Source organism: Homo sapiens, chromosome 18 (assembly GCF_000001405.40).
Source record: "Homo sapiens chromosome 18, GRCh38.p14 Primary Assembly".
Taxonomy (NCBI): Eukaryota; Metazoa; Chordata; class Mammalia; order Primates; family Hominidae; genus Homo; species Homo sapiens.
In genome coordinates this window covers 36,509,605-36,522,076 of record NC_000018.10, presented here as the reverse complement: position 1 = coordinate 36,522,076, position 12,472 = coordinate 36,509,605, and the positions used below count along the sequence as shown (strand labels likewise).

The following is a 12,472-nucleotide window of genomic DNA, read 5'->3' as shown; positions in this document are numbered from 1 at the left end:
TATCAGTGAGTCAAGACCAGGGTATGCATAGAGGGCCAAAATACTCGGGAACCAGGGAAGATCTCCTGGAGATTACAATATCTGAACTCCAATCTAAGGATGAGCAGGAAGCAAAAGATAATGTGTGAACCAGATGAAGATGGGTGAGCGAGGCCTTGTAGGCAGATGCCAAGGTCTGCAGGACAGAACATCACCCTCCCTGGGATGGCAGGGAGTGGCTGCAGTGGACTGCACCGACACACGAGGGCAGGACCAAAGTGGGCTCTACCCACACAGAAGGCCTGGGATTTCACCCTGAGGATGAGAGGAGCCACTAAAGAAGCTGAACCAAGGACTAAGGAGAACAGATCATGGTGCATGGTCCATCCATGCAACAGAGGGCAAAATGGGCCAAAGGGAGGCAGGACTAAAAGCAGAGAGACCCATGAGGCAGCTGGTAGAGCAGGTTAGGAAGGAACAAATGATGATCTGAACTCAAAAACTGGGTATAGACAGAGATGGAAGGACTTGAAAGGGAGTCAAGGTTTAGAGAAGCCCTAATTTGGTGGGTGATGATTACAAAGAATGAATGAGAGAAAGGGGTTAGGAGGACCCTAGGGTGGCTGAATTGAATGTGATGAATGATTACGCTTTGTTGGGATGATGAACAGAGCTGTGGAGGAACTGACTGGGGTATAAAAACATGGGTTTTGGGTTTGGGCATGGTGCAATGGAGATGGAGATACTGGTGCAATGGAGATGGAGATACCAGGGCACAGCTGGCTCCACAGGCCTGAGGCATTGGAGAGTAGCCAGGGCTGGAGGTCTTGGGCACATTAATGGCAGGGGAAATCACAGGGTTAGAAAAGGCGTGGTACCCTGCCAAGAGGCTGGCCCAATCTACCAAGAGCCCTCAAGCCTCCAAAATGCAGAAATCTATGAACACACCAACTGATATTTCCTCAGAAAGTCTTAGCTCCACCACCCCACCCACAAAAAAAGTTTTAATCCATGCTTGGGGCTAGGTTTAAATCTTGCTGTTGACATTTTCTTCTATCATAAAGCTGGATTCACAAATAGAAACCTTGTAAAAGAAGACCATGTGTGAGATAAAATTAGAGCCAAGGAAATAACGATTGTGCTTCAAGGCACACCTAGCCAGCAGCTCCTCTGGAAAAGTCTACTGAGCAAGGAGAGAAGGACAGAGTGAGGAGGCACATCTTTGGTATGAATAAAGTGGAAAAATTCCTGATGAACACAGAAGTGAGATTTGGTCGTGGAAAATTCCACACTCTCTGTGTAGGAATGGCCAAATAACTTTTTCTTTCTTCCTTCTCATCTCAGATAAAAGGAAGGAGAAAGAGACTTCCAGTAGAAACTAAAATTCTGGAGAAATCTCTCTGGCCAAGACTGAGACAACAATGGCTCTTTAAGCTGAAGCACTCGGAGGCATGATTGCAGGACATTGCCAGGGCTTTTTTTGGTTTGCAAAGTGGCCTGAATTTCTGGAAAAATGTGATTCCAGATTGAATGCAGGATGAACTTTAAGAAGCATCTAATCAACCTAAGAAGGAGTCAGATTAAGATGAAATTAGGACACTAATATTAAGTTAAACCATACAATTTTGCCCTTTCTGTAGGTAAAAAGTGGTCAAATACCAGCAACCTCACATGGTTCAGCCTAATGATGCTCCAGCTGGAGATAATGTTTGCCAGGGCTACCTAGTCTTTCTTTAGAAAGATGCTCTACATGAAGTATTTCTGTTACAACTGAATGCTTGCTATATTCAACAATATTCATAATTAACTTATACTTAAGAAAAATTACAACTTGAAAGAGGCTGGGCGTGGTGGCTCATGCTTGTAAGCCTAGCACTTTGGGAAGCCAAGGCAGGAGAACCTCTTGAGACCAGGAGTTTGAGACCAGCCTGGGAAACATAGTAAGACCTCGTCTTTACAAAAAATAAAAAATATTAGCCAGCCATGGTGGTACATGCCTATGGTTCCAGCTACTAGAGAGGCTGAGGCAGGAGTATCACATGACCCAGGAGTCTGAGGCTGCAGTGAGCTATGATTGCAACAGTGCATTCCAGCCAGGGTGATAGACTAAAACTACATCTCTTTAAAAAAAAAAAAAAAAAATGAAAGAAAAGCCTTACTCTTCATAAACTAAAGTTACCCAGAGACAAGCATTCACTAATCACAGGAAAAAATACCTTGGAAGAGAGTAAGAGGGAAAACCAAAATCAACCTTAGAGCCAAAGTGCTTAGGTAGAGTTAGAAGCTGATGGCAAATATCGCACTTGCTGCCCAATGAGGTAAAGGGCTCAGGGTCGTGGATGCTGCTTGCCCCACCCATGGAGTAGCCCAGCTTCCCTCTCTTACCTCAGAACAGAGGGTGTACAAAGGACACTTTGTCCCACCAAAGGTCAGGATCTGGCCCTGGCCTTGCCTTGCTTCCCCTGGCAGGAGCTCCTTGCCCACTTGACCCATGGTGCTCCTGCACACAGTGCTGGGGGCTGACAGCCATCAGGCCACAGACCACAGCAATGATGACTCAGATCATTCAGCACTTGCAGAAGAAGCACAGCGAGGAGCCTCCAAACCACCCTCCTCCAAATCTACCCAAATGACCAATGAGACATGGACAAGAGAGTCCCCGAGCCCTGAGACTAGGGGTAGGCCAACCACACCCCACTGACCTTGGCAGATCCATCCAGAAACACCAGAGAGACGGCAGCTAACCCAGGAGGAACAGTGGGGCCAGCACCCAGCTCCCTCCTGTGAGAAATGCAGCACTGCAGAAAGTCAGGCAGAAAAGCAAGACAAGGACACAGTATCCTGTGGCCTGGCAGGCCAGGGGAGAGCTATGAACTGTCCAATTTAAGTCCATTTGGGGTCCTCTGCACCCGTACAGGCTGGAAAGAGGAGGACACAAGTGCAGGTCTCAGCTACTCTCTGGCCCAGTTTCTTAAGAGGGTGCAGGCCTGATGCACAGTGACAGTGGGTGGCAAGAGGAGCCACAGACGGGACATGCAGAACACTCCAGGGAAGCATGTGTCATGACATATCAACAGCAACAGGGTGATTTGGCCTCCCTTCCCCTCCCAGGGAGTTACAGGCTGCAGCTTCCCTGCCCCTGACCATACTCCTGGGCAGTGTGGCTGGTTCACCCTGGAGGCCACATCCCTAACAGCATGCCAAGGAGACGTGAAAGAGAGGCCAGATGGAGGTCAGACCCAGCCAGGGCCCCAAGACACCTAAAGCAGAGGTTTCAACTACAGGAGGAAGAAAAAGCAAACACCACGTGGTGATTGCATCTTTCTGCTTCAAGGGCCACTTTCTCCAGCCCTCCCCAGTCCACATCCCACAGGGCCTGGGTCGGCTTAAGTTTTCAGTACTTCAAGAAAAGCCAGAAAGCTGTATTTTTATGCCAAATCTCCAAGTTTTTAAATGTTCATAATTCACAATCTTTAAACCTGTTAGATAGGGCACACAAAACACCTGCAGGTTCCATTCAGCCCCACAGGCTGCCAGTCTGCTTACGCTGCAGTGATTTTTTATTGGAAATAGTCCTGTTGTACCACTCAGCAAGAGGAGAGACATCAAATGAGGAAGGACTCCATTCTTAACACTGGCCTCAACCCACCTGGAGCTGAAGACACCTCCAAGACTCCTGGGTCATCCACATCAAAGCCTAGCTGTACAGCTACCATGATAATCTCTGAAGTCCAGACCCAAAGCAGAAAACCCTTCTGGCAAGAGGCAGGAAAGAGCTTCCTCCAAGCCAGCTGCATGGGACACAGGACCAGTGTCATGAGGTTGCAGAGAGTCAGGCTAGGTTGTTCCGTGGAAAATACAGTAGCCAAAGACCTAACCTTAGTTCAGGAAGCAAGAAATTCTTCCCCTTTGCTCCCATTTCCTCACCTTGGGGCTAGTTTGGTGCCTTCCCTGTAGTCTAAACCCAACCTCTGCTCTTTTTGGCATTTTATAAAGTGCCAAAATATAAACTTCAGTTTTTCTGACAAGGAGGATGTTAGTTTAATTACCACTTGATCATTTTGTGCCACTGCCTTCTAACATCATAAAATCTCTTTCCATGATATCTATGATATTTCCATTTCTGGTACCATCAATGCCAACAAACACCATCTGACCATACATCCTGATTCTCATTAAGGGATCCCCTAATATGAATGGCATTTGAGGATTTTTTCCTATAGTGGACTATAGTCAACTCTGGGACAGTTTTTCCAAAGAAGCCTGAAATCTGCATTTTTAAAAAAATATCAAATCTCCCAATTTTTAAATGCTGACAACCATTAAAACATTTAACAATATATGAGGGCAAACAAAATATATCTGCAGTTTTCTTCTAAAATGAAAAGGTTGAGTTAAATGCGTTTTAAGATCTTATCCAGCTTTTAAAATAACTGATACCGACTGAGGCGTTTTATGATTAATTGGTATTTTGGTTTAGATGAAATGACCAAATTAAATTTCTCCATGTAAAGCTAGCCCGAAGAGGCAGTTTCTCTTGAGTTACAGCCAGAAAGGGTAGCTGGTCTTACTGTTTCTATTTATCTCTCTCTCTCTTTTCTCCTCCAAAGCACAGTACATATGTGCAATTTCCAAACATACAAGACACATGCAATTCAGCATATAAAACATGCCATGCAGGGGACCCCACAGGGACCTGCTTCAAGACAGTGTGAATCTTGGTTCCATCGTCACAACCCCAGGGCCTGACATGGTGCATGGCCCATAGAGAAGGCTCAGTAATGTGTGCAGAAAGTTTAAGTTCCCAGCAATATACCACTCTAGGTCCTCCTTCTATAAGAATAATTGTGAGGTACAAAATTTCACAGTACACTTAAATTAAATACTGGCTATCCCAAAAAAACTTTAGATCATTAGCTACAACCACCCAGGAATAATAAGTCAGATAAATATTATTCCTCCACGTTGTACAGTTAAGACTTCTTCCCAGCAGCCTGCTCACAGCTTTGGACAGCACTTGCCTACACTGTAACTAAACCTATCTCTACCTCTCAGCAGACACATCCTCAAAGGAAAGCAGCGGATTCCTGGGCCTTAAAAAAAAAAAATGCTGAGAGGGGGCTGTGTATGCAAATAAAGACAAATAAAGAGTTCTAAAAGCAGATCTGGGAAAGTCCTGGATTCTCCACATGCTTTTGTTTCCCCTGGGGCTGTAGGACTCCCATGTAGCCACACAGAGCAGAGCTCCTCAGGTGGCTTCATGAGGGCACACTTCTCAAGACACTAGGACAATTAACCCAACTTACGGTTTGCAATATCATTTTTTAAAATGCTATCTTGACACAGCTTTTTTAAAAACAGGGTCTTGCTCTGTTAATCAGGCTGGAGTGCAGTGGTGCAAATATAGCTCACTGTAACCTCAAATTCCTAGGCTCAAGTGATCCTCCGGCCTCAGCCTCCAAGTAGCGGAGATGACAGGCATGTGCCACTGTGTCCAGCTTAACCCAGTTTTGAGGCCCTGGCTAGCGACCAGCCAGTTCGTCTTCTCCAGCAGCCCATTAAGTCTACACCCCAACCTTCTCCCACACGGGGCTCTCACACCTTGGGCTACTATACACAGGCCCTCGCCACTCCAGAGCCACTCTGAGCTTCGGGGCCAATCCTCAGCTGGCTTGCCTGTCCCTTGGAAGCCACAATGCAGGTGTTTGCCCACAGTCTGCCTCTCCCCCCACCTCATGGCCGACCTCTGTGCTTCCTGAGTGGCCCTGCATGGGTGCTGTGTCTTCTCCTCAGGGAACTGTGAATAAAATAACTGCAAAACTTTTCCCAGCCTCTTCTCTTGATCTGCATCTGCCCTCACCAGTCCCCACCGAAGACAGCACAGTTAAAACATGGGTGGACAAATAAAGAGGTAATTCAAAGGTTGTTCTTGATCGCAAATGTCCAGTGGCTGCCAGCAGTTATCAGAACCTTAAAAAAAAGCCTACGTGAGAAATTGTTCAAAGTCACAAAGGAGTGACTCCATGTATGAACTAAGGAAAATCATAGCTTCCCTGCAGGAAAACGCAAATGTCACGTCCCAAGAAATGTGTCATTTCCATCCCTCAGAAGTTACTTTCCTGGTATGAGCTTTGGTTGGTTACATCAAAATGTGGTGACAATTGGGCACAGTGCCCTGGTGACCAAGTCTTCTGAGACATAGGCATGCAAAGGCACCTCTGTTCTGTGGAAAGAAGGATGTCTTGCAGTAGCCTGAGTGGAGTGCTCGTCTTTCAGATAATGCATGGGGAGCCTTCTGGTCGCCAGTAAAGGGACACTATTAGAAAGGAAAATATGAAGGCAAGGCTTTGGTGGTGGCAATGGAAATATAGGGTCTCCTCACATTTTGGAAGACCTATCTGCAGCTAGGGCCTCACCTTCTTGGCATGTCATAGAAGGGCAGGCAGAAAAGCTAGAAAACAGAAGCAGCAGGTGGTTGACGGGCTCTCCCCTGGTCATGAGTGTTCTGAGACTTAAACATTCGGGAATTGCCTCTGGCACCTTTCTGATTCAGGTCAGAACACTGCAAAATAAATGGCTGTGGCCGGGCGCAGTGGCTCACGCCTGTAATCCCACCACTTTGGGAGGCAGAGGCGGGTGATCACGAGGTCAGGAGATCAAGATCATCCTGGCTAACATGGTGAAACCCCATCTCTACTAAAAATACAAAAAAATTAGGCAGGTGTGGTGGCAGGCGCCTGTAGTCCCAGCTACTTGGGAGGCTGAGGCAGGATAATGGCGTGAACCTGGGTGGCGGAGCTTGCAGTGAGCCCAGATGGCACCACTGTACTCCAGCCTGGGTGACAGAGCGAGACTCTGTCTCAAAATAAATAAATAAATAAAATAAACGGCTGTAAGCTTCATGGTAAATATTCACTAAGGTAGAGGATGTGGATGAAGTTCCCTGTATCAACATCATCTCCCATTGCCAGCAAGTACAATTCATACCCCTCACCACCAGGACCTGTGTTTAACCTGCCCATGCACAAGGATTCCCTCAAAAGCCTGCAGGCCGCTGGTGGGAGGGGCCTCACTGTGGCTCACCAGAAAAGGCTTTCTCAGCTGTGCTGAGTTTTCTTTCCGAACTCCCTCTATGCAGCTGGGACTCATAACCTCAAGCCCAAGCCTTTCTCTCTGTTGCCTCCCCTGTGGAGTCTAGGAAGGCACTCACTCTGCCAGCCTCCCGTGCAGCTACAGGGGGTCATGTAATCCAGTTCTAATCCACGTGAGGTCTAGGGAATGGGTGAGTTCTGACCACAGCGGGCAGAGTTGTGCCCCTCGCCTGGGCTTGGAGGTAAACTATTGCGCTGATGCAATAGAAATACACAAATGTGCTCCTAGGTAAGGGTCAGAAGAATGAGGATAAACAGAAGATGGTTATAATATTAGCTCTCTAGAGGTGTGTCTCTGTGTGTTGGGGATAACTTATTTTTTGGTAATGTTAAAATGATGTACACTTTAAACATGAACAAAAAATATATTGTCAGTGTGGACCCACTATTCAGAATTAGGTGATTACCTGTGGTTCAACATATGGGCATCCATATTATACCCGGAAAATAAACTAGAGGAAGCTCTCCCACCCTTATCTCTGCACCTTCCTCCTGTCTAGGTGTTAGACCAAAGTGAACAGACACACAAGAGTGAGAATCCAGGCCTGCACTCATCTCTTTAGACACACAGACGGCTGCGATTAGATGCAACATGGCACAACAGCTTTGATATAAATGTTTATATTATTAAGAATAGAGGCCGGGTGCAGTGGCTCACACCTGTAATCCCACCACTTGGGGAGGCCGAGGCCGGCGGATCATGAGGTCAGGAGAACGAGACCATCCTGGCTAACAAGGTGAAACCCCGTCTCTACTAAAAATACAAAAAAATTAGCTGGGCATGGTGGCGGGTGCCTGTAGTCCCAGCTACTCGGGAGGCTGAGGCAGGAGAATGGCGTGAATCCGGGAGGCGGAGCTTGCAGTGAGCCGAGATCGCGCCACTGCACTCCAGCCTGGGTGACAGAGCAAGACTCCATCTCAAAAAAAAAAAAGAATAGAAATAGCAAAATTCAGCAATAAAGCATCTCTCCTGACAACTTGTAATGGAGGATCTATTACAAGACCAGAAAAAGACTGAAAGTAGACAAAAAGAGCCAACTCCGCAGCCCCACAAACACTGCTGCACACACCATGGGTCAGCAAAGTGAGAGGCTCAGGAACTCTCACACACATTTGCCGTTTATCAAAATGAACAAAACAACACTGACTTGAAAAGACAACCTTAATTTTTTTTTAATGAGCCCTACGTTCTCTCTGTTGCTTTTAATTGCAGTGGCTCTACAGAAGAGGGGAAAGAGGGATGAAGGCTCTGATTGGCTGGAAAACGCCACAGAACATAAGGAAGCATTCTCGGGGCAAAACAAAACAGCTGAGATGACTGTGTCAGTTTGCTTGTCTCATTCAACTCCAAACACAGACATCTGATATTAAATCATACTTTTCATGTATGATTTTCATTCTTCCTTCACCCAAGAAGAAAAGAAAGGAAGGTTTTGGTAGTTTTATTTTCTCCTACAAGCGCTGAACATGCAGTCTGTGGGGTCACAGGCATAGATACAGAGGGGATGGCAGAACCCTGACCCGCCTGACATGCCTCAGTGCCTGGGCACAGCTGCTGCCTGGCACACTATGGGAATTGACTTTATTATTTAATGACTTCTTTGAGTCTCAATTTTCTTCAACTGGAAAATGTAGATAATATTGGACGATATAAAATTTCTTCTTTTGTAGGTCAAAACTGTTGATAGCAGCAATTTCATACGGTTCAACCTAATCATTCCTGCCCTGCCTATGCACAGGTTTGTTATTTGTTTTTTTTTTTTTTACAGGATCAAATGAAATTTATATGAAGGTGCACAAAAAAACCTATGACTATAAAAACACCATTAACTATAAACTGGAACAGGAATCAGTGCTTCAAACTCTACATTTGCATCGCTTTATAAATGAAATCAGAATCGCTCTTTAAAAGGCAAATCCCGGACCCGCTCAAAACTATCGAATCAGAAACAGGAAGACAAGGTGAAAAATATGCACTTTGACAAAAGCCCCAGGTGATAACTCAAATTGGGAGAAAATGTTTTTTTCCAAGAAATAAATTGCCCCCTTTGGTTTGGGGTGGCTTTCTGCTGAGATGCAGGCTTTACCCAAGCCCATTTAGTATGTCTCCTTCCTGGACAAATAAGACAGATTATAAAGAACCCAGTGAGTGGTACAGTTTTCCTAGTAAGCGTGTAAAATAACTCCAGGTGAAAGTCAGTAAAAATTAGCACAGTTGCTAATTACTAGGAACTGGTAAAACCTGTTTTACCTATGGCAGATGTTTTTTTGCCAAAGGGTGTCTTTACCACCTTACTCTCAAATCGAAGTCTTTTAAAAAGCTCTCAGTAGTTAAGTTCCTGAAGGTGAACCCAGATCCCCCCTGCAGCTGGGGCAGCTGCTGCATGCCCAGTCATGACTTACCCCTTAAGATGTAGTTCTGATAGTTCTGATCAGCCTCAGCTCCCACCTTGATCAAACATGTCAGACCTTCAGCCACTACAAATTCATGCACCAAATCCTTGTCATCCTGGCAGGAAAGAAAACAAAAATACTTCAAATACTGTCCCTGTCCACCTTCCATCCCAGCTGTGCTGCTAAAACTATGTACAAGCCTTTAAAGCCAGAATGGACCCTACAGATTGCTCTGCTGTATTCAAATGAAGCATATCAACTGTTGCCAAAAGAATTTTACAACCAGTCCTAACATTGTCCTTTGCCAAACACCAGTTATTGCTGCCTTCTGGGCAATCTAATAAAGATAAGGCAAATGAATCTCCTCACTGCCAGAAATATTTACAGTGCCTTGTTTTTCATTCTTCAAGAAACACCAGGCTCTACTCCCCCACGGTCCCAAGGGACTGGCCACGGAGAAGCTTGCTGGTTTTCTACTGCAGGAAACATTTGATTGCAGCAAAGACTATCAGGTGAGGAACTCAAAGCCACTAATGTGTTCCAAAGATAGCCCTTGGGACAGAGATTACAGAAAAGGCTCTTGCAAGGGCTGAGAACCACAGGAAGCAGTTTATCCAACCTCCAGTAGTTGTGCTGCCTGTAGGACAAGCATGGAAGCAGGGTGCAGGGTTGGACATTAACCTGGAGCAGCCACGCAATCCCTCGAAAGGACCGCCTTGGCTGGCTTGCAGACCTGATCACAGAAGGCAGGACATGGAAGAAACTTCAGGGGTCATCTCATCCGGTGGTTCTCAGACAGAAGTCTCCAGACCTATCAGCCAACAGAGACTGGCAGCAAGGGCATTGCCTAGGAACTTGTTAGCCCCACTACGGCCCTCCTGATTAGGAATCTCTAGCGGGAGGCCCTGTTTCTCAAGCTCAGAAGCAGGTGATTCTGAAGAGCTCAGACGGTTCTCACCCCAGACTCCTTCACATTAGAATCATCTGGAGAGCTTTAAGAAGGACCAGAAAGCAGGACCTTACCCAGATGGATTTAATCCAAATTTCTGGGGTGGGGCCCAGGCTCTATTAAATTCCCCAGGAAATCCTCAAGGGTTGCCTGTTCAAGAACCACTGATTTAATGGTAGCTTTTCTTTACAGATAAAGACACTAAGACTCAGGAGTGGCAAAAAGAAAAGAAAAGAAAAAAAAAAACATTGGCAAGATCATTTAACTAGCCAGACCCAAACCCAGTCATTTTTTTCATAGTACCAAGCTGAGAGGGATTTTTCCACCATTGTTTTCCTCAACTGAGATTGGGAGATTTCCTCAATTGGACAGTGCCTTGTCTCAAACGCATCTAGGATAAAGCTGAAACATTCATCTTAAATGATCACAACAGGGCAAAAATAAAAAACCTCAGTGATGTAAATGGTAGAAAGCTCAATGGAATAATGAAAGGTTATTATTATAGGAAAAGTCAGCAACCATGGCTTATCTCCAAAAGAGAAAAAATAATGTAGATGAACTGGCATAATTCTCCTGTTCCTACATGAAATCAGCCCCTTATTTTGATTTTTATGGCATTTTTCAATTATATGGATGGGGGACCAGGTAAATGTGGCCAGGCTCAGCAAAGGCTCCCTTTGAACCAGGAAAGAGCTCTTCAGGGTCAGAGCTGACCTGGGGGGAAGGGTGGGTGAGTGATGTCTGCGCCCTGAACGTAATGAAAGACAGCTGTGTTAACTCAGACTTCAAGATAATCATGGCTTTGGAAGAAAGAAAATGGGACAATATCATGAGTTTTTGGAAAATTACTTTACACTCATATGTATAAAGGAAATAAAAAATAATTCTCTCTCCCTCCATATCCTTTTCCACCAGCATATGTGAAAAGTGAACATTTAGATGAGCTCATGTCTAGTCAGAAAGTTTTTCCAAGCATGTAACAAATGTTTATTACTTTAACTAAAACTAGATTCACACATGACTTCATGGTGAAAAAGTGAGAACAAGCTCTCAAGAAACCACTCAAGCTAATCACTAATATTAATATACCAGAGAATTGACTGTCTGGCAAAGGCACTTGGAAAAAACACTGGACAGGCGAGACAGTGTTTATAAAAATCATTCAGAACTGAAATTTATGCACATATGTAGATAAGGCACTCAGGAAGGAGAAATTTATTGATAATTAATGTGGAAAAAAATCTTCCAAATTGGCAATGTGCTAGATTTTACACATATATCCTAAAATATATGAGCATTAAGAAATGATTTTTAAAACATTGGTTTCAGAATAGAATGAAATCAAAATGTTAACACTGATAGGTGCTTATTGCTGCATTTCAGAATTTTCTCTAATAGCCATATATTAAGCTGTGATCATTTTTTAAATGCCTATTGGTCAAGGAATATTCAACCCAAAGAGATGACCAATGCCTCTGTTTTTCAGACACTTACAATTTAGTTTGGAAAAGAACTTCCACACCTAGAAAACATGAGAGATGATGGAGACGCCGACCCACGGGTATGGAAGGTGGTGATCCATGCCCAGACAGCACCGCTGCCTGTGTAATCCAGTTAATCCCCCATGCATCGCTGCCCTGTGGTGGAGTGCTGTTTTTGCGCACATGTGTGTGGTCTTCCAAACAGACTATAAACTTCTAGTAACAAGCAGCTTCTTCCTTGCCTACATGGTGCCAACGAGGCTGCTCAAAAATATTTGCTTAATGACGGTCCTGGGAATTCAGAGAACAAACACTACAGAGTGAACTTGGTTGAAGTGATCTACAAGAGTCCAAGCATGTTTATTTTTTAATGTTTTCAAATCAGAGAACTTTAAACATATACAAAAGACAACGGAATAATCTAGTGAACCCCAGGTGCCAATCAACACATACCAACCCTATTTCATTGATCATCCTACCTGTTCCCCTGCCACATTAATCTGAAGCGAGTCCCATAC

The 12,472-nt window shown here is 44.9% G+C and overlaps 1 protein-coding gene across 45 annotated transcripts in view, besides 4 other annotated features; it reads right to left on the bottom strand.

The window, feature by feature from the left end:
* Positions 1 to 12,472, bottom strand: part of FHOD3 (formin homology 2 domain containing 3) — a 482,508-nt gene that overhangs the window by 258,144 nt on the left and 211,892 nt on the right. For all 45 annotated transcript variants that reach the window (XM_011526189.2, XM_011526190.3, XM_017026008.2 and 42 more), the window contains one exon: positions 9,534 to 9,639. In XM_011526189.2, coding sequence (XP_011524491.1) covers positions 9,534 to 9,639 — 106 coding nt within the window. The remainder of the gene's footprint in view (positions 1 to 9,533; positions 9,640 to 12,472) is intronic.
* Positions 2,092 to 2,670: an enhancer, noted in NCBI's record as "H3K27ac-H3K4me1 hESC enhancer chr18:34099370-34099948 (GRCh37/hg19 assembly coordinates)". NCBI's record gives its function as "activates a minimal SCP1, AML or CMV promoter by ChIP-STARR-seq in naive H9 embryonic stem cells {active_cell/tissue: H9 hESC(naive)}" and the evidence as "EXISTENCE:reporter gene assay evidence [ECO:0000049][PMID:30033119]".
* Positions 2,671 to 3,250: an enhancer, noted in NCBI's record as "H3K27ac-H3K4me1 hESC enhancer chr18:34098790-34099369 (GRCh37/hg19 assembly coordinates)". NCBI's record gives its function as "activates a minimal SCP1, AML or CMV promoter by ChIP-STARR-seq in naive H9 embryonic stem cells {active_cell/tissue: H9 hESC(naive)}" and the evidence as "EXISTENCE:reporter gene assay evidence [ECO:0000049][PMID:30033119]".
* Positions 3,594 to 3,781: a silencer, noted in NCBI's record as "fragment chr18:34098259-34098446 (GRCh37/hg19 assembly coordinates)". NCBI's record gives its function as "represses an EF-1alpha promoter that drives an FKBP-Casp9 reporter gene in an ReSE screen in HepG2 liver carcinoma cells {active_cell/tissue: HepG2}" and the evidence as "EXISTENCE:reporter gene assay evidence [ECO:0000049][PMID:32094911]".
* Positions 9,885 to 10,085: a silencer, noted in NCBI's record as "peak3119 fragment used in MPRA reporter construct". NCBI's record gives its function as "represses an SCP1 promoter by STARR-seq MPRAs in K562 erythroleukemia cells {active_cell/tissue: K562}" and the evidence as "EXISTENCE:reporter gene assay evidence [ECO:0000049][PMID:32103011]".